We start from the raw sequence: 20,835 nt of genomic DNA, 5'->3' as shown, positions 1-20,835 counted from the left end.
CAGAGGGCCATAAGTGCATGCAGACCACACCAGCAAGGGTGTGGACCACACTGCTCTCCACTAAGCACTGAGCTGTGCTGGTGAGCTTGGAAGGGGAGGGCCCAAGTCAGCCAGTGTCATCTCCTGTGTGGTTTTGAATGATAAGCAGGTCCTGTGGGTGACTATGTGCTGCACTGCACAAGGTGGCTGTAAGCTGTCACCCTATGTGACCTATAGGGACTGTAGGATGCTGCATGGACCTGTGAGCAGGTGCTGCATGTGACTAGCTGTGGGTGCTGAGTCAGAAAACCATGAGTCATGCCTGGCTGACTGCTCCATTAAAATTCCAGGTGCTCTAAGGCGTATAGGATGTTAGCACAGCGTCCTGTCAGTGTGGTGCTTGGCCAGTCACGTGCTGCCACCAGTGGAAGGTGAGAATGGGGAGCAGAGAACCCTTCTGAGGTAGCTGGGTTGACCTCTGAATGTATGTCTCAGAATTCTAGAGGAGATGAGGTGAGCAGGCCTTCAAGATCATCTTGTTTACTAGATCCAGAGAGGCTAGCAAACCTGCCAAAGGCTATTCAGCAAGGTATAACAGAGCCATGTGTAGAACTGGATTCTCCTTAACCTAGTCAAGTACGCTTTCCCTGAGACCAAAGTCTCTTTGAAAGAAGGTTATAGAAAGACTTGTTACATGTGTTGTCTTCTATCCCGAATTTCCAGAAGAAATCTATTGTTTTGCCCTGTCTGTAGATCAGTATTTCCAGCTGTCCTTATTACCATTAGTCACTCTAGATTTACCATCAGGAATGCTGGCCAAAGAATGATTTAGGATCAACAATGTCACAACCTTTGGGTAGACACAACCTCTAGTCTGATTACAAAAAACATTCGAGATGGCTTGAAAAGTCTCAAACCATAATTAAATACTCTGTCCTGTACTGATGGTCCCAGAGAGACCACACCACCAATTACAGACCTCATTCCAGGCAGAGACCAGTGCACCCTCCTGTCTCCATCCTCTGATGCCCACAGATATCCAATATCATACACCCTGTGCCCCAAGGGAGGAAAGCAGTCCCAAAAGGAAATTACATATTCAAAGTTTATTTGTAGTTTTGCCCTTGGCCTCAGACAAGGGGATGCCTTACTTTTGCATCACATTTTCTTCAACTTCCTCATGGGATTGCTGTGGTTTGGATGTGTCCCCCAAAATTCATATGTTGGAAACTTGATCCCCAATGTAGCAGTGGTAGGAGGTGTGACCTATAACAGGTGACTAGGTTCTGCCCTCACAGATGGATTAATGTCATTATTGTGGGAGTGGTTTTGTTATAAAAGGATGAGTTTGGCCCCTTTTGTCTCTGTCGTACCCTCATTTGCCATTTTGCCTTCTGTCATGGGATGGCACAGCAAGAGGGCCCTCACCAGATGCCAGCCCCTCAATCTTGTACTTCCCAGCCTCCAGAACCATGAGACTAAAAATTTCTGTTCATTATAAATGACCCAGTCTGTGGTATTATAGCAGCACACTACAGACTAAGACAGGGACAGCTGAGGCCAACCCAGAGCCAGGAAGGAGCAACCTGTAGAAGACAGTCCCATGGTGAAGACGAACAAGCAGACCTTGACGATGGCAGGTTCCAGAGCCCTGACTCCTCCTATACTAATATCTTCCACAATCAGCAGCAGCTCTAGCTTCACCTCAGCCACCATTGGCCAGAACTTTAAACGGGACCTGGGATTCCTCAAAGCTGGATGGTGGCAGGTGTGTTGATCAGTAAGCCCCAACAAGAAGGGAGTCTCAGGAAGGGAGACCGTCAGGAAGGTTTCCTCCCAGAGACAACTGGGAAGTTGTGGTGTGAAGGAAGGGAGGCTTAGGACCCCTCATTCTCAGAGATGCAATAATGCAAAAGGAAATGGTGGCCTAAGGCTTGAAGAAAAGCACTTACCCTTCCCAGAGCCCAGCCAAATCCCTGCTGGGCCCCTTCCTATGATCCAGGGCTCTGTTCACCAAGGTGGTGCCTCTTTTGACTCATGACCTTTTATGTCTGGAGCTGGAGGACTCATCTTGCCCAAAATACCACTTGCGTCATGCCACTCCCCTGCTAAAGAACTTTCTACAGTTCCCCATTTCCCACTACAGCAAATTAAAATTCCACGCTTGCTGCATGACCTTAGGCCGGTCACTCCACCAGTTTAGTTTTTGTAAATGTAAAATAAAAGATTTGGATTCAATCATTTTAGAAGTCTCTTTAAGCTAAAAGGCACTCTGAAAAATCTCCTCTCTCCTTGCACCGGGGTTTAATTGTCCTACCTTAACCCCTCATTTTGCCCTACACCAACCCCACACTCCAGTTCAGCCAGCCTGCTCCTGTTCCTCAAACCCATCATTGCCATGCCCTCCCCTTGCCTGCCCTCTCTGCTCCTTGGTGTTTATCTCAGTCCCACTCACCCTTCAGTGAGCAATTGAGTTTCACCTCCCACATGAGATTCCTCCAGCCCACATTCATCTCTCAGCTCTCTGAATCCTGTTGCTTTTATTACAGCTGCTTGCACCTATTTTGGTGCTTAATTCTTCTCCAGTGATTTTATGCGGCTCCTTTCTCTCTCCCCAGAGGGTTCCTTAACATTTGATTTAGTAACTACCAGCCAGGCACAGCCCAACTTGGGTTTTTAGAAGGGTGCTCAGTTAACTGACAGTAACAAAAATGCAACTTGATGGAAATGATGATTGACAATAAAGTCCTAGAAATCTACAAGGCACAGATGACATCCCAGGAAAGTAGAACTTCTGAGCCTCTAGAGAAAACCCCATACCTGTGCTCAGTGTCCAAAGCAGACATTTGGAGACAAGTGTGTGAGGTGAAGTGAGGGTTGGGGATGGGGATGGAGGCATTGGGATGTAGAGTCTAACACCAGAGATTCGGGGATGGCTATGCCACCAACTAGGTGTGTGACCCAAGCAGGTTCTCCCTGATCTTGCATCAATAATTTGAAGGACTCAGGCCACCAAAAGTTCTCAAATATCCCTTTCTACTCTTATTTAGAAAGACTGTATTTCTAGAAGGCTTGGGAAAACTTCCTGCAGGAAGGGAAGGAAAGCCAACCTTCAGGAAGAACCCTGGGCTCTTGCAAAACAAATGTTACCTAGCTTGTTTTAGTAATGAAAAGGTATCCTTTTCTCACTCAATGAGTTCACCCAGCTCCCACCGTTGGTTTTGCATTGACAGGCCTGTCATGGGTACGTTACCAAGGCAACAAGTTTTTCCCACAGGCATGACAATCTTCTGGGAACTTCTGACCCATTCGAGGAAAATAAAATTCTAGCAGAAATGGTAATTTATTAGATACAATGATTTCTTGCCAACTTGCTTTTGCCGACTGCAGTTGAGTTAATGATATTTCAGTTTTATAAGCCAAAACATTCAAAGCAGGAATCTGTTTTCATATGTATTGCTTGTTGAGTCCATTTAAAAGTTTAAATAAAAGTCTAATTTTGGTTCTTCTCTCGAGCTCTATTATACTGTAAGGTAGCGAAAGGTGCTGGCCCTGGATCCAAGCTCAGGACTGACCTCAGCTTCCTGTACTAATTAGCTGGATGATTTTGGATAAGTTACCTAGCTTCTCAGTTTTCTCATCTGTAAAATGGGAAAAATAGCACAGACCATCTTAAAGGAAGGCTGTTATACATGAACTGTGCTTATCATAGAGCCTGGTTTTTCTAGGGAGCCTCACACCATGAATTTAGTTTGAAGTGATCCTCAAATGTGATAACATCCCCAGTGCCCAATAGAATGAACACTTATATCTTCTCTGAAGACATTCACCTTCATCCTAGGCCTCAAAGAATCTCATAAGTACATTTTCAAGGAGTCTGAGCACCATGCAATAAAAGATAACCAGGTATAGTACATAAAGAAATTAGGTACATATAAGCAAGAATCAGCAGGAGAACAAAAGAAACAGATCACAAAGACTTTGGATACTAAAATCATCAAAATTGTAAAATTTCAAAATGAATTTTTGTTGTTGTTGTTGTTGTTTTGTTTTTTTGAGACTGAGTCTCGCTCTGTTGCCCAGGCTGGAATGTAGTGGCCCAATCTCGGCTCACTGCAACCTCCACCTCCCAGGTTCAAGTAATTCTCCTGCCTCAACCTCCTGAGTATCGGGACTACAGGCACACACCACCATACCCAGCTAATTTTTGTATTTTCAGTAGAGATGGGGTTTCACCATGTTGGCCAGGCTGGTCTCGAACTCCTGACCTCAAGTGATCTGCCTGCCTCAGCCTCCCAAAGTGCTGGGATAACAGACGTGAGCCACTGCGCCTGGCCCTTACAATGACTATGTTTTTTAAAATAAGACAAACTTGAAGTTTTTATGGGAATCCAAAGTTATTTAATTACCAATTTGGTAAGAAACCAAATGTAAGTTAAATTTGAAAAATAAAATCACCAATTTTCAAAATCTTCAACGATCAGGTTTAACAGAAAATTAGACGCAACTGAAGGAGACTGAATAAGCTAGAAGATGTATCATAATAAATTACTTAGAATGCAGTGTAGAAAGACAAGAAGATGGTAAAGTTGGTAGAGAGGTGAAGAGACATGGTACATGGAGTGAGCAGGCCAAACGTTGTGCTGGCATTCCAGAAGGAAAAGGCAGAAATAATCAAGTAGAGGCAACATTTCAAGAGATACTGGTTGAGAATTTTTCAAAACTGATGGAAGTAATCAAGCCACAGATTCAGGATGTGCTAAAAAGGCCAAGCAAGATAAATTTACATAAATGAATGAACTGGAAAACAAACATACAATATAGACGATGGTATATTTTTCCAAAGATGGCCACAGCATTTCGTCTCATCCTGTATGCCCTTTTGCAGTGTGACTTTTGCCATTCTTCCCATCAAGAGGCAACGTCTATTTCCTTCACCTTGAATCCAGGCTACTACAGAAACTTGCATTGACTCATAGAAGCAGCAGAAATGACTTTGGGGACCGGACATTAGAAGGCTTTGTGGCTTCTATTTGTGCTCTTTTGGGACCTTGGGTCCCCATGTAAAGAAGTCCAGACTGCGCATACAGAAACAAAGGCCAAGGAGGGGAACACGAAGACACCCAGGTCCCAGTACCAAGTCCCCAGACATCTCATTTGGGACCCACCAAGTCAATCCCAGATGATACTATGTGGAACAGGGATGAGATGTTTCTGCTGAAGTCTTCCCAAGCTGCAGGTTCACAGAACTGTGAGTAAATGAAGTGGTTGCTACTGTAAGTCACTGAGATTTGGGGGTAGTTTGCTATGCCTCAATAGAGAACGGTGACATAGAAGATCAATAAAAGCCAGATATGGTGGCTCATGCCTGTAATCCCAACACTTTGAGAGGCTGTTGGATGATAGCTTGAGCCTAGGAGTTCAAGACCAGCCTGGGAAAGATAGTGAGACTCCCTCCCTACAAATTTTTTTTTTTTAATTAACAGGTGTGGTAGTATGCACCTGTGGTCCCAGCTACTTGGGAGCCTGGAGAGAGAGCAACTCTTGAGGCCCAGAGGTCGAGGCAGCAGTGAGCTGTGATCAGGCCACTGCACTCCAACCTGGACAGCAGAGTTAGACCTTTCTCAAAAAATAAAAAATAAAAATAAAAAATTGGTTTGAAAAAAATAATAAAGTAGACAAACCTCTGGTAAGATAAATCATAAATAATCAGTACCAGAAACAAAAAGGACATGACTACAGAAGCTACAGGTATTGAAGGGATAACAGAAAACCATACACAAATTTTATGCCAAACCACTTGCAAATTTACTCGAAATGGACACATTCCTAGAAAAAAAAACTTTCCAAAGTGGATTTAAGAAAAATAAAATATGACTAATTCTATAAGTGCTAAAGAAATTGAACCAGTAGTCAGAAATCTACCAAAAAATAATATTCCAGGCCCAGATGGCTTCATTGGCAAGTTCTACCAAACATTAAAAGGAAAAAAAATCCATTATTATTACAAACTATTCCAGAAAACAGAAAAATAGGAACACTCCCAAATTCATTTTATGAGACTGTAAAACATTGGTACCCAAATCCAGCAAGGGCAGAGAGAAAAAAGAAACTTATAACTCACTCTCATTCATGGGCATATAAGAAAAATAACCTGAAACAATTGTTAGCAAACTAAGCCTAGCAATATAAGGAAAGAGATACACCATGATCAACTTGATTTTACGCCAGCAATGGGTATACAATCCCAATGGATCATTCAGTATTAGCAAGTCTATTAATATAACTCAACATAATAGATCTAAGGGTAAATAATCATATGATTATTTCTATACATGCTGAAAAGGCCTTTAACAAAATTTAATATGAATTTCTGATGAATTAAAACTCAAGGATGTAGAAATTTATGGTTATTTCCTTAATATGAACACACACATATACATATGTTATGTATGTATGTATGATTCCCAAAGGCTATCATCTAACTGAATAGGAAAATATTCATTTCCCATTGCTTTTTGTAACCTTGAGACCACATGGTCCTTAAAAATATGAAAACATAATCAAATTACATTGTAATAAGATAAACTAAAATGTTTCTTACCTATGACATTTGCAAAAATTCTAAGTCTTGACTGCATGCTTTGTTGTCAATATAGCTTTATTGTCAAGCTATGAAAAAATAAGCAATTTCATATATATTGCTGGTAGGAATGCAAATTGGTACAATCCTTATGGAAGGAAATTTGGTAATACCTAACAAATCTATATGTGTGTTCACCCTCTGACCCAGAAATCCCAGTTCCAGGAATTTATCCTAAGTTAGATGTATAGCCTAGCATAAGCTGAACTTGAAAAAGATACATGCATGTGACTGTTCATGACAGTAGTATTTGTAATAGCAAAATATTGGAAACAACCTAATGGCCATGTTGGGAGGCTGGTGGTATATATGGTACATACTGGAATATTCTGCAGTTGGAAAAAAATAAAGATCTCTGAACTGATGTAGTATAATTTTCAGGACATATAATTAAGTAAAAAAATCAAAATGCAAAAAACATGTATAGTAGGTTATCTTGTGCAAGAATAAAGGAAAATAAGAATATATTTTCTCAAAAAGAAAAAGGATATTAAACTAATAAAATTGGTTACCTACAGGAATGACAGAAATGGGATAGAAAGGGTAGGGGAAGGGGATGGGACCTCTCTGAGTACATCTTTTCATATAGCTTCGACTTTTGAACAATGTTAATGTTTTATATATTGAAAAGACTTAGTAAAAAGCAAGAACAGAAGAAACACAAAATTAAATACAGACACACTTAACTGTATGCCACTAGGTTATATAATTACACAGAAAGAACAAAAAAAAATTCAAGTGATTCTGAACACAATATTTTGATTATACACCCTGAGTGGGATATATTCTAAAGGACGGAAGTATGGCAAAGGAATTTTGAACTTCATTTGTTGTTGGTGGTGTTGTCATAGCAATTCCAGTACTGTGTTGTATGTATTGTAGGATTCAGTAAGTGAGTAAATTCATTGATGTGTCTGTAACCCAGATTTGCACTGTGGGTGAAGGACAATACAAATATGGAATGAAAGAAGGAGATGAAAAAGTGTAATTCTACCTAAATTAAAGATAACTTTATAAATTTATTGGATGTTTTTAAAAAAGAAAACTACATTTCTTAGTTTTGTCACTGAAAGGGCCTAGACAATAACACTTCAGCATCAACAAACATTCCTAGCACCTGGACCTTGGTTTCTAAATAACACTCCCCTACCAATGGAAGCCTTGAAGAAACAGCTGATTCCAGGTTTGGGATAGAGGAAATACAAGGTTAGCAGGGAAAATCTTGTACCATGAAGTTTAAAAGTGCTTAAAAATTGATAGGGCCACAGAAGTTACCTTGAAGAGGCTCTCACTGGCCAAATCTGTAATAACTTTGGCATCAAAATGAAAAATAACAGGCCTGGATTACAACACACAGATTAATAAGAGTCCATAAGTGAATTTCTTTTCTTTTCTTTTCTTTTTTTTTGGAGACGGGGTCTCACTATATTGCCCGAGCTGGTCTCCAACTCCTGGGTTCAAGCTATCCTCCCTGCTTAGCCCCCCATAGATGAATTTCATATGAAAAAGATAAGACAAAAAGGAGGGGGGAGTTCAGTTAAATATTTATTTAAGTGGGGGAAAAAAGGGAATCTCTTTTTTATGGAGGAAACCCAACTGACAATAGCAGAAGGAAGAAGGAATGACAGAAAAATCACCATCTTCCAATCACCATGGTAAAAATTTAGGCAAGAAGTATCAATGGATGCTAAAAATCACTGGGAAAAAGGGTAATCACACAGTCTCACAGTATCTCCCTATGGATAATTTATAAACCACATGGGGCAGGTACCTTCACAAGGGAAAAAAGTCAGGCAGCCACACCTTCACCAAGTTATCAAATTTGGCATCACCAACTAGGGGATTCATGAACATCACTGTTTGTTGTTCATACACAAAAACCAGCTGAAGATGTTCACTGACACAAAAGAAACAAACAAAAAGCCGAGAGAACTATTCTTGATGAAAAGAGATTAAAGAGACAAGGCAAATAAATGCAACGTGTGGTCTCTGATAAATCTAATAAGCAATGACTGAAGAAATGAACAAAATAATAAAAAGTCAATTTATTTAATTCACAACATTAGCAGATAAAAGGAGTAAGTCACACAATCATCTCAATAAATACGGAAAAAGCATTAGATGAATTTCAACATCCACTTCTCATTTTAAAAAATCTCTTAGCAAATTTGGAATAAAGGTTTCTTAATCTCATAGAGCTTATCTACAAAAAAAGCCATTAGCAAACAGCACAATTACTGATGAGAAATTAAACATTTTCCTTTTTTTTTGAGACAGAGTCTGGCTCTGTCACTCAGGCTGGAGTACGGTGGTGCAATCTCGGCTTACTACAACCTCCACCTCCCAGGTTCAAGCAATTCTCCTGCCTCAACCTCCCGAACAGCTGGGATTACAGGCAACCGCCATCACGTCTGGCTAATTTTTGTATTTTTGTAGAGATAGGGTTTCACCATGTTGGTGAGGCTGGTCTCAAACTCCTGACCTCAGGTGATGCACCCACCTCGGCCTCCCAAAGTGCTAGGATTACAGGTGTGAGCCACCACGTCCAGCTTAACATTTTCCTTTTGAACTTGGGAATAATATAAGAATACCATCTTTGGTATCATCACCTCTTTAAAAAAAAAAAAAAAACTGTTGTGCAGGCACCAGCCGGCACAGTAAGATAAGAAAAAGAAATAAAGGCACACAGATTGAAGAGGAAGTAACAACACCGTCATTATTGGCAGGATTATGTGTGTTAGGTTGGTGCAAAAGTGAGTGCTATTTTGCCATTGCTTTGTTACAAAGCAATAGAGAACTAATCCAGACTTGAGCCTGGATTCTCTATTTTATTTTTTAAAAGGTCAGTTGGAACAACGCTATGTGCATTAGCTCTTCTGGTGGGAGCATTAAACAGCATTAAAAGTAATGGCAAAAACAGCAATCACTTTTGCACCAACCTAATAGAAAACCCAAAAGAATATATAAATTATTAAAATTTTTAAGTTTAGTTGAGTTCAAAATCAACACAAAATTCACTTTATTTCTATATATCAATAACAAACATTTCAAAATAAAAATTTTAAAACCCACTTGCCACACAACAAAAATATCTAAACCTAGGAATAAATTTAACAAAATATGTCCATGCCTGCAACAGAGAAAACTTTGAGAGGCATTAAAGATCTAAATACATGGTCAGGACTTGAAAGACTCAATATTGTAAAGATGTCTATTTTCCCCAACTTGATTCATAGAATTCAAAGCAATCTCTATCAAAATCCCAACAGGTTTTCTCCAGTGGAAATTGCCAAGCTGATAGTACAATTTACATGGAAATTCAAAGCCAAGGCACTTCTGAAGAAGAATCAAAAATAGGAAGACTTCTTTTCTCAAAAACAGAAGTTAATATAAAGCTACAGAATTAAGATAATGGGTTATTGGCCCTGAGATAGATAAGGACTAATAGAGCAAAAAAGAGAACTGACACAGATAGAAACATGCATGAATCCTTAATGTACAAACAGAGGTAGCTCTTCACAGTGGTAGGGAAACAACCGATTTTTCAATAAATGGTAGTGAGACAACTGGGTATCTGCATTTAAAAAAATGAGGGGCTGGATGTGGTGGCTCATACCTGTAATCCCAGTGCTTTAGAAGGCCAAGACAGGAGGATTGCTTGAGCCCAGGAGTTCGAGACTAGCCTGGGCAACATGGTGAAACTCCTTCTCTACAAAAAATACTAAAATTAGCCAGGCATGGTGGCATGTGCCTGAACACAATATTTTGATTATATAACCTGAGTGGGTGTGTGGTCCCAGCTACTTGGGAGGCTGAGGTGGGAGGATTACTTGAGCCTGGGAGGTTGAAGCTACAATAAGCCATAATTGCACCACTGCCCTCCAGCCTAGGTGACAGAGTGAGACTCTATCTCAAAAAGAAATAATAATAACAACATTGGGTTCCTCTCATATACTATTCATAAAAGTCAATCCCAGATGTAGGGTGATTGACTTAAACGAGAAAAGTAAATTTATAAAGCTTTTAGAAGGAAATATAAGATATCTTCATGACCTCGAGGTAGGAGAGGAGTTATTTAAGATACAAAGAGCACAAACCATAAAGGAAGATTTAAAATACATATACTTAAGAATAAAGGCCGGGCACGGTGGCTCACACCTGTAATCCCAGCTCTCTGGGAGGCCGAGGCAGGCAGATCACTTAAGATTAGGAGTTTGAGACCAGCCTGGCCAACATGGTGAAACCCTGTCTCTACTAAAAATACAAAAATTAGCCAGGCACGGCGGCAGGCACCTGTAATCCCAGCTACTCAGGAGGCTGAGGCAGGGGAATTGCTTGAACCTGGAGGGCAGAGGTTGCGGTAAGCTGAGACCAAGCCACTGCACTCCAGCCTGGGTGACACAGCCAGACTCTGTCTCAAAAAAAAAAAAAATAGAGAATATACAAATGGACAACGGTGGGACCACATATGATAACAGAACTCTGAGCCACAGTCTGCAATCGGCCAGGCCAGAGAACCAAACTGCAGCCTCTGCAGCAATCAGCCCAGAATGGTCAGGTTTGGTTAATGACTGCCATCTTCTCTATTTTTTGCTCTGCTTCCAACTCAGGACCCCTCAGAGAAAGCCAGATACACTCCCAACTGGATAACTTCAGATGCCGTGCCTCTAGTCAGCTGGTCCCTGATACCAACAACCTCCAACCAGAGCAGATCTGAAGATTTCCCTTTTTTCCACTGTGAAACTTTCCCACTCCCCTGCCTGCCTTTGAATCTTGGCCAAACATAAGTGATGTCTCGCTACAGCGAGCTCTGAATAAGTAGCCTCTGTTTGTCCTCATTTGGGTAGTCTACATTTATTTACACAAAATTAAGAATTTTGCTCATCAAAAGTCCCCATAGGAGGACAAGCTTCAGAGTGGAACAAGATATTTGTCATATATGTAACCTCCAAAGAGCTAGTACACAGCATATATGGAGAACTCCTAAAAAATCAATAGGAAAAAGACTTCAACAGGCACTTCACAAAAGAGAAACTCAAACAATCTCTATGAAAACACTCCTTGGCCTCATCAGTAATCAAAGAAATACAATCATCCTGTGCAGAAGGCATAGCAAGCATCGTCATTCTCCCCCACGGCTCAGAGCGGTAACTGACTTGCCCCAGAGAAGCCTCAAGCATGGGCTCAGACCCTAGGCAGGCCCAGGACTCTGTCCCATGCCTCCTCCACTCTCTCTGGGGAGTCAAGGGCAAGTGCCTTCTCACTCCAGACCCCGTCCTCTCATCTGGAGAAGATGAAAGATCTTTAAGGCCCTTTTCAGTTTAAAAGATTCTGCCTTCCTAAGCAAAGGGAGAGCCAATGATGGGAAGAAGAGGGGCAGAGAGGGATTGTGGCAGAGGCACAATCTACCCACAGTCATTAATGTTGGGGGGAATGGAAAGCCCTGGCTGGTTGCCCACTCAGTTCAATGAAAGCTCAGCACTCTGTTTAGCAGCACTAAAGAATGTAGGCAATCTTTTAGAATTTATCATCTGGAAATCTGTCTTCCTTTGTCCTTCAAAAACAAAACAAAGCTCATAAATGGTAATAGTAATGATCAAAATGTGCATAGTAGTAGTATTTCCATTTTAAGGATGAAAAAAATCAAGGTCCAGGGAGGTGGAAGAACTTGCCCAAAGCCACAAAGCACAAACAAATAGAATCCAGGGGTTTTTTTTGTACCATGGTACTGCTACCGGACTGCACTTCTCTCCTGTCCCAAGATCTGCCTCGCTCCCGGCAGCCTTTGGGACATGTAACCCTGTGTAGGCAGCCTCTGCATCCCATTCCGCAGGAGGCAAACCAGACTTCTTATTCTTGAACTGTACGCTTTGTGCTTTATCTCTTCAAAAGCACACACTCCTCTCACACACCCATTGCCTAAGCAACATGGGACACCAGCGGGGCTAAACCACTGGTTGTCCTCTGAGCAAAAGGCACGCTTACCTTGCCCCAGAAGCAGCAGCAGCTCCAGGAGGAAAATGCCTGGCCGCAGCCCCATGCCAGAATGCTCCAGGTGACTCGGGCCTCTGGAAGAGCTGCTCCAGCAGATGGATGGGCTATCACACCTCCTCCTGCTTTTATGTTCCTCTGTGTTCTGATAGAGCACCTGTCATAAATTTTACTGTGTTCACCTTTGAAAGGGGGTAGTGGCGGGCTGTAAATGATAAATATTAACACTTAGGCGGAAGAGTTCTTAAGGCAGATGAGTCAATGATGGGTAGCATGTTCTAGTCATAGACACTGACAGACCAGGGCCGCATAGCTGCCTCCATACAGCCTTCCATGATGGTGGGTGCCCAGAAATTGCCGGTGTTCGGGTCTGCTGGGAAGAACGTGGGCCTGGGAATCCCAGGTGCTGGTCGGAATTCCAAATCAACCACAGCTGTGGGAACTTGGGTGTATCCCTTAACGTGGCCTCAGCTTTCTCAGTTGTAAGCCAGGAGATCAAAAGTACCTTGTAACAAATGTAAACCATAAACCTACCTCCAAATGTGAAACGTGTTCCCACCGTGTCTCAGAAGCTCTGCTAGGTTCCCTGGTTTGCATGACACAGAGAGGTTTGTTCTGTTCCCCCCATCTCCAAACCCATGGGTGGCCAGTTGTGTTGGGTGGATGTGCACACCATAGATTTGTTGTCTGCATGTTGAATTCAGAGATACAAGCCAGAGAGGGGGAACCAAGTTTGACAAAATCAGCCGTTTCCTTTGGGTAAACTAAGTCAGGAATGCAGGCTGGGTCTAAACTGGGCAGACAAAGCTGGCATTTAAAGCCTGAGTGACAAATACCCTTGAGAGTAGAATTTAAATTTTTTACACAAATATCAAGAAACAATTGCCTTGGTTGATAGGAACAAATATATTTAAATTATCCTTGCTTTCTGGCCATGCTTGTGGGTGTGAGGCTGGGATCCTGACTTCTGAGGTCTAGCTAAGACTCTAGGGCTGGTTCCCATGACCCAACCTCAGATTCTGATCTCCTGGCTGACCCACTTTTCTCATATTTAAAAATCACAGCCAGACACAGTGGCTCACACCTGTGATCCCAGCACTTTGGAAGGCTAAAGAAGGAGGATTATTTGAACCCAGGAGTTTGAAAACCAGCCTGGGCAACTCCATCTCTACAAAAAATAAAAATAAATTAGCCAGGCATGGTGGCATGCACCTGTAGTCCCAGGTACTTGGGAGGCTGAGGCAAGAGGATTGCTTGAGCCCAAGAGTTCAAGGTTGCAGTGAGCTATGATTGCACCACTGCACTCCAGCCTGGACAAGAGCAAGATTCCATCTCAATTAAAAAAAAATTGTTTTTAATTACTGTTATAACCTCTATTGTCTTGAGTAGAAAGTGAAGACGAAGTGAGTGGCCCTTTGTTCCTGAATCTCTGGTTTTAGGATGTTGTCTCCCTTTCTCAACTGCTCAGAAAATATGTGACTTGTGGGTCACCACTGATTTAGCCAATGCCAAAGGCTTAGCCTAAGCCTCAGGACTGTAGGGGGGTATTGGGACATGCCAGAGGTGTGTGGACACTGACACACTTAGTCCAGCTGGCCATCAGCTAGTTCCAGAGCCTAGAAGAGGGCAGCACACACAGACACACAGAAAAGGAAGAAGAAAATACACCCAAGGCCAAGGTCTGTGGGGGACAAGTGAGCACAGATGCCCCTGGATATGTAGACACTTGTCAACTTCACCAAACTGCCCCCAAGTTCAATGAGAAGCCAGAGCTGCTGTCCCACTAAGGATGTCAGGAGTTTACCCAGCTCCATGCCACCAGCAGCTTTGAGGAGCATCACTGAACTTGCCTGGGCTGAATAGGCCAAGGTCCCCACTCATGTGCAGGCCAGCTGGAGGTGGGGTGGAAAGGACATGGGGCATGCGCAGAAGTAAGTTGGTTCCACGCTCCAGGTACTCGCTCCATCTCTTAACTGCTTCTCTCCAGGACTACCACAGCCCAACTGGGTTACCATCCTTCCTCTAACTCCTTTCACATTTAGAAAAATTGAGAAATGCCTTAAAAACATTTGAATGTTGGGAAGGCATTTTGGTATGGGATAGACTGGATGTCCTTTTAGGTAGAATAAATCTCTGAGTTCCATCCATGCATCAAGGAATCCTCACCAACTGTGAGGCTGTAGGGGAAGCAACATTTCTTAGACACTCTTTTTAAAAATTTTTTTGAAAAACAGAGATGAGGTCTCACTATACTGCCCAGGCTGGTCTTGAACTCTTGGGCTCAATCAATCCTCCCACCTTGGCCTCCCAAAGTGCCGCGTTTACAGGCATGAGCCACGTCGCCCAGCCTCTTGGCACCCTTACAGCATCGCAGCTTAACTGGCACCTACTATTTATGTGGTCTAGTAGCAGCTATGAAAACAAGGGGAAAGTCGTCTGAAGTCAAAGGCTCCATCACTTGTCCATAAACTTTTGTTCTCTGACTTTTGCTAGAAAATGTCCTAAGAGGACATGTCCTATAAAAGGGGATGAGAAATATTCTCCATTTCAGATTTTAGCAATAATCACCCAGGTGCTCCTTTTGGGAAAGGCACAGGCCCCTGAATTAGCATCTTTCAGGGATGGTAGCACATGCCTTGCTCAGAGGTTTCTTGGCCACTGAGAAGGCTAAGCATTCAGGCTGGGCACGGTGGCTCACGCCTGTAATCACAGCACTTTGGGAGGCCAACGCGGCTGGATCACAAGGTCAGGAGATTGAGACCATCCTGGCTAACATGGTGAAACCCCATCTCTACTAAAAATTAGCCAGGTGTGGTGGCGGGCGCCTGTAGGCCGAGCTACTTGGGAGGCTGAGGCAGGAGAATGGCGTGAACCTGGGAGATGGAGCTTGCAGTGAGCCGAGATTGCGCCACTGTACTCCAGCCTGGGCGACAGAGCAAGACTCCGTTTCAAAAAAACAAAACAAAACAAAACAAAAAAACACAGGTGAGCATTCGCTGTTGTCTAAGAATCCACAAGGAGGTGCTAGACTAAGCTCCTGGCACAGAGCCCACGTGGATTAAAGCAGTGTGGGCCTTCCAAGAGAATTTTTCCAAACTGGGGGTTTACAACCCATTATTATCCCATCAATCTGATTTGGTTAATGATCAGCCCATTTTAAAAAATGAAATCGAATGTAAAATATCTGAGGACATAGCAATGTAATAAGGGTAAGTAATGTATCGGGAAAACTTTTGTTTCAGCTACCTATAGTGATGCAATATGTTTTTCTTAATGTTTTTCTTTCAGTGGCCAAGAAACCTCTGAGCAAGGCATGTGCTACCATCCCTGAAAAAAAAAAAACTGAAAACCACCACAACTTTAGAGAGTAATAGATCCACAAAGAAATCCCTAGATTTTGAGAAAAATAAAACAGGTTTGCTTTTCCTTCTGGTTAAAGATGTAGCTAGACCCAATTCCCTTGTGTTAGGAGCTAGAAGCAATGTCTACAAAGGGCCCTGAGTCTTAGGAAGAAGCAAGCTTTTTTTTTTTTTTAAGAGACAGGGTCTTGTTCTGTTGCCCAGACTGGACTGCAGTAGTTATTCACATGCATTATCATTGCACACTATAGCCTTAAACTTCTGGCCTCAAGCAATCCTCCTGCCTCAGCTTCCTGAGCAGCTGGAATTATAGGTGCATGCCACCACACCCAGCTTCAGGTCAAGCTTTTTAATGACTGTAAACAGAGAGTAAATCAACTTGTCCTCTTCTTTCAACGAGGAAAATTTAGTCCCTGGCACCTGACTGAGCTCTGCCAATGTGATGGGAAGTGTGCACCAGCAGCCTGCCATCTTGGACAAGGACCCCTTGATGCCTGTTTTAGGAAGACAAACCACTGGAAGAGGGAGGGTACACACCAGAACTGTGGGAGGGGTGGAAGCAGAGTACCATATATCTCAGGGTAATCTGCATTATGGCAGTAATTCCCTGGGGATTTCCTGCCTCAAGTTTCAGCTTTTCTGAAGTTCCTACTGAACCTCACCCTGATGGCTTTGCATTGTTCATGCCTTCTGCATGGAGATGGTCCTATGTTCCCAGCAAGAGAGGGGCTGGGCCTTTCTCTTCCTACTATCTTAGCACCCTCAAAACTCTTCCCCCAGGAGCACCTAGCCCAGTGTTCTACACATACCAGGCCCCCCACAAATCTTTGTTCACTGGCTGAGTATTCTCCAGGAGCAAAGAAACAATTGGTTTAACTGGCCTGTGTTCTCCATCACCCCTACCACTCACAGAAGTAAAAGGAACCTTGGATTACGACTCTCCAAACCTGGCATATTACCTAGATGCCAGGGCTCCTGTGTATTTCCAATAAGACCTGGGTACATGCATGCAAAACACTGTCTAATGCAAGTAACTGGGCTGACTTAGCTTTCCTTGGGCAGAGGCTTTGCTTATAATCGAGATACTAAAGACAAGAAGAGCTTAATTAAGGGATGAAAAAAGAAGAGATAAAATGAAGAAGGTACTAGTAATATATTTCTAGAAAAAAATACAGTTTTCAAATATCACAGCCTTATTAATAAAAACAGAAACACTGACAGGGCAAATCCCAGCAGAATGCACCCTCCATGAGGGAAGGGACCTGGCCTGTCTTGTTCTTTGCTATGTTCCCAGCACCTAGCATACTGCCTGCCATAGCAGACATTTGTTGGATGTTGGATGAATAAATAAATAAATGAAACTCAGAATAAAAGGAAAGAGATCAAGACCACTATAAAAAGATCAGATCAGCAGAGTAGGATGTAAAAAGGAATAAAAGCATATTTTAGGATAGAAAGCTGAGGAAAAAGAGAGGTACATTGCCCAATACCATGAAGCATGATGGGAACAGACAATGGAGAAGTAACATGGGGATTCATGGGTCAAGCTCTTCCCCAAGGCCACAGCATTATTCTTCCACATAGTGGTTCTCAATCCTGGCTGCACACTGGAACCACCTGGGGAACTTTTTAAAAGAATACTCGTGCCCAGGCTTCACTCTCAGAGATTCTGATTTAGTTGGTCCAGGGTGGGACATGGGCATTGATCCTTTTTAAAGTTCATCAATAGATTCTGATGTGCAGTTAGGGCTAGAACCACTGTTCCAGTAGAGCCAGAGCTCTCAGGGACCTGCCTAGTGCCCAGCAGTGAGGGACAAGAGGGCTCCATGTCTGCTGTCTCGGACAAGGCAAAGGTTCACTGGACATAGCAGGATGCCAGGACAGGCTACTCAGCGCTGACAAAATCAGGCTGACCTGGCAGCCTCTCCAGATGGGAAACCCATGGAAAAGACACTGGGTAAAGTGCTAGGACTTCTCTCTGAGAGGTCAGGGAGTAGGCGGGAAAGGGCTGGTTTCTGGTGCCTGAGGAAGGCCCGTCACTGAGCACCAGGATGTGTGGGCTGGAGTCCCAGATCCACGGTGATGCCTATGATCACCCGCAGTCATTTCCTCTTCCTTATGCCTCTGTTTCCTCAGCTGTGAGACTGGCAGCATGGATTCCATTCTTTTGAATGCGGTGTAAGCTCATCTCATCCCTTCCCCACCGTGGCAGTGGCAATGTGATGGGAAGCCCAGGCATCCTCCAAGCCACACGGTTACTCTGCCTTTTGGTCCCTTTCTTTCTCCTCTCCCTCTTACCATTTCAGACTCAGGGCCTCCTAGACCCCCAGAGCCCTTTTAGCAATGACTGGGAACTTTATTAGTGCTTTGCTTCCCAACCTGTACTCCTCCCAACTCACGGAAGATGGTGATCTTTGAAGAGCACAGAAGGAAACCAGAGAAGGCAGTCTTTGGCCTGAGATGATCAGCTAGAGGTCCTAAACAGCCCCAAGCCCCTCCTGGCAGTCCTGAAGGGCCCGGAGGGTCAACATCTTTGGCCATCTGTAACCCACGGGAGCTCCTACAATCCAGGTCCAAATTTAAATACCATTTGTTGAGCACCTAGTAGGTGCCAGGCATCTTGTTATTCGAATTTATAAATGTTGTCTCATTTAATACCAGCTACATTCCTCAGGGCGTTAAGAGTCTCAACTAAGATCACCCAACTAGTAAGTTTAAAAGGAGGCTCTGATCCAAGTCTTCTCCCTGCATCCATTAATGTGTCCCCAGCGTGACTGTGAGCTGCACCTGTGAAATGTCCTGAACACCCGCAGGATGAAGCCGGGAAGGCTCTTGATTCTGAGCCAGCAAGGAGCAGCCCTCAGCTCATGCACCCACTTTTTAGGAGAGTCTGGACAATAGGCCCTTCTCTCCTGGACTCTGAGTCTGAGTAGAGCAGCCACTGCAATCATCATACAGCCTGGGCCACAGGGCCCCCACTACCCTGTGGAGGAAGCACCATTTGTCCTAGCAGAAGGCACCCGAAGAGCGTCCCCCTTAGTACCATCTCAGAAGGACCAGAGACCCAAACGGGATTCTCCCATCCATCCGAGCTTGTGGATGTCCGAGTGTGCCCCTTCCTTCTCCCCTTCTTGGGGAGAATCCCACCCAGTGGCAGGAAAGCAACTGGGACTAGGTCAGAACTGGTCAGTGAGCACCTGGACCTTAACAGCCACCTAGTCCAGTCCTCTTCCCATCGTACAGAGGAGGACACTGAGGCAAGGAAAGAGGCAGGCAAGGGCCTGTACTGGGTTTTGGGTTCCCTGATCCAAGCCCAGTGTTCTTTCCCACTCATGATACAAGACTGGATCACCATGGCCATGAGCAGCAGTGGTATTTCTACTCCAGTCTGACTGATAAGACAACCCCAAGAGGATTAGTAAGTTGCCTAAGGCTGCTCTGCGACTAAGGCAGAGGCCAGAACCCTTTCCTCTGTACCACAGCCAGGGAGTGGCCAAGTTCAAGCCATGGAGACTCAATACAGACCCTGTGCTAGCAGATACCGCATAAAACCCATGTCCACTCCATCTCCATTCTGGGGAGGGGGGTCCCATGGAGACAGGCTAGTATGGCTGCTGGGTCCTGGTACATGGGAGAAACTTCCCTGGATCTTTTAGAGCTGAAATCCCCTGTGTCCTGGTCCCACGTGGCAGGGCCAGGAGATGGCTCTGGGGAGAGAAGTGTTGTGAAATTTGATGCTCTGCCCACCAGGGGGATCCTGTAGGACCACCTGCTATGGGGCTAATCTTTCCCTCACTTAATTCCCTTTGCATTCTGTCCATGGGAGCTATAATCTGTCCTTCAAATCCAAAAGAAATAACCAAAGGCTCCTAGTCTTTCCCTGGGAATCTCATGTGCTCCAGACCACAATGGGAGGCTCCTGGCTCCAACAGCCCCAAGCATCAGGCACTGACCCCATATATCCCCCTGGCCTGTGTTCAGAGGAGATCATCTGCCCAGAAAAGCTTCCACTGGACAAGGGGTCCAGGGAGGAAAGACAGCCTTTCTAGCCCCAGCCATGGCAACTTACCAGCTGGGGAAATCTCTTTATCCTCACTGCAGTCACTCTGGAATGGGCCTCTGAGCCTTTGGCTGTGTAACAGGGGATTGAGGTGGCGTGGCATGGGATGGCATGGCATGGTGTCATCAGCTTGTTGGGGCTGAGCTGTCAACATCATCAGACACTGGCACGTGGGTGTTAATAGCTTTGGCAATGATGTGCAAGCTTGCTTGCTCTCCCAGCTACGCAGTCCCACTATTTACCTTGATGGCACTCCCTGGGGAGAGGGTGGTGGTATAAGAGTAGGCAGGAGAAGATGAGGTGAGACTGGGACTGGCGTCTGTCCCCAGGGCCCTGATGCAGACTGGCCACTAGGCCTGGCTAGGTAGAGAGATCTGTGCTGACCTCCAGCCATAGGGACATCGAGCTGGACTGGGCACAGCCCTGAGTTTACCATCTCAGCTGGCTCCATCCTGAGGGACTGCCTACCACCTCTGCCTCTGGGCACCACTAGCTGACATTGCAGCCTCCTGTTCCTTCCCCTCCTCCCCCTCCCCTCCCCCTCCCCTCCCCCTCCTTCTCCTCCTTCTCCTCCTCCTTCTCGTTCTTCTTTTTGAGACAGGGTCTCATTCTGTCACCCAGGCTAGGGTGCAGTGGCTCAATCTTGGCTCACTTGGCTCACTGCAACCTCTGCCTCCTGGGTTCAATCCATCCTCCCACCTCAACCTCCAAAGTACCTGGGACCACAGGTGTGTGCTACCATGCCAGGCTAATTTTTGTATTTTTTATAGAGACGGGGTTTCACCATGTTGCCCAGACTGATC

The 20,835-nt window shown here is 44.2% G+C and overlaps 1 protein-coding gene across 2 annotated transcripts in view; it reads right to left on the bottom strand.

The window, feature by feature from the left end:
• The window catches only part of PLB1 (phospholipase B1), a 148,083-nt gene extending 135,366 nt beyond the window's left edge, over nucleotides 1-12,717 (bottom strand). For both annotated transcript variants that reach the window (NM_001170585.2, NM_153021.5), the window contains exon 1: nucleotides 12,608-12,717. In NM_001170585.2, the coding sequence (NP_001164056.1) occupies nucleotides 12,608-12,662 (55 nt within the window). In that variant the 5' untranslated portion in view covers nucleotides 12,663-12,717. The remainder of the gene's footprint in view (nucleotides 1-12,607) is intronic.

Source organism: Homo sapiens, chromosome 2 (assembly GCF_000001405.40).
Source record: "Homo sapiens chromosome 2, GRCh38.p14 Primary Assembly".
NCBI lineage: Eukaryota > Metazoa > Chordata > Mammalia > Primates > Hominidae > Homo > Homo sapiens.
This window is presented reverse-complemented; position numbering and strand designations above follow the sequence as displayed.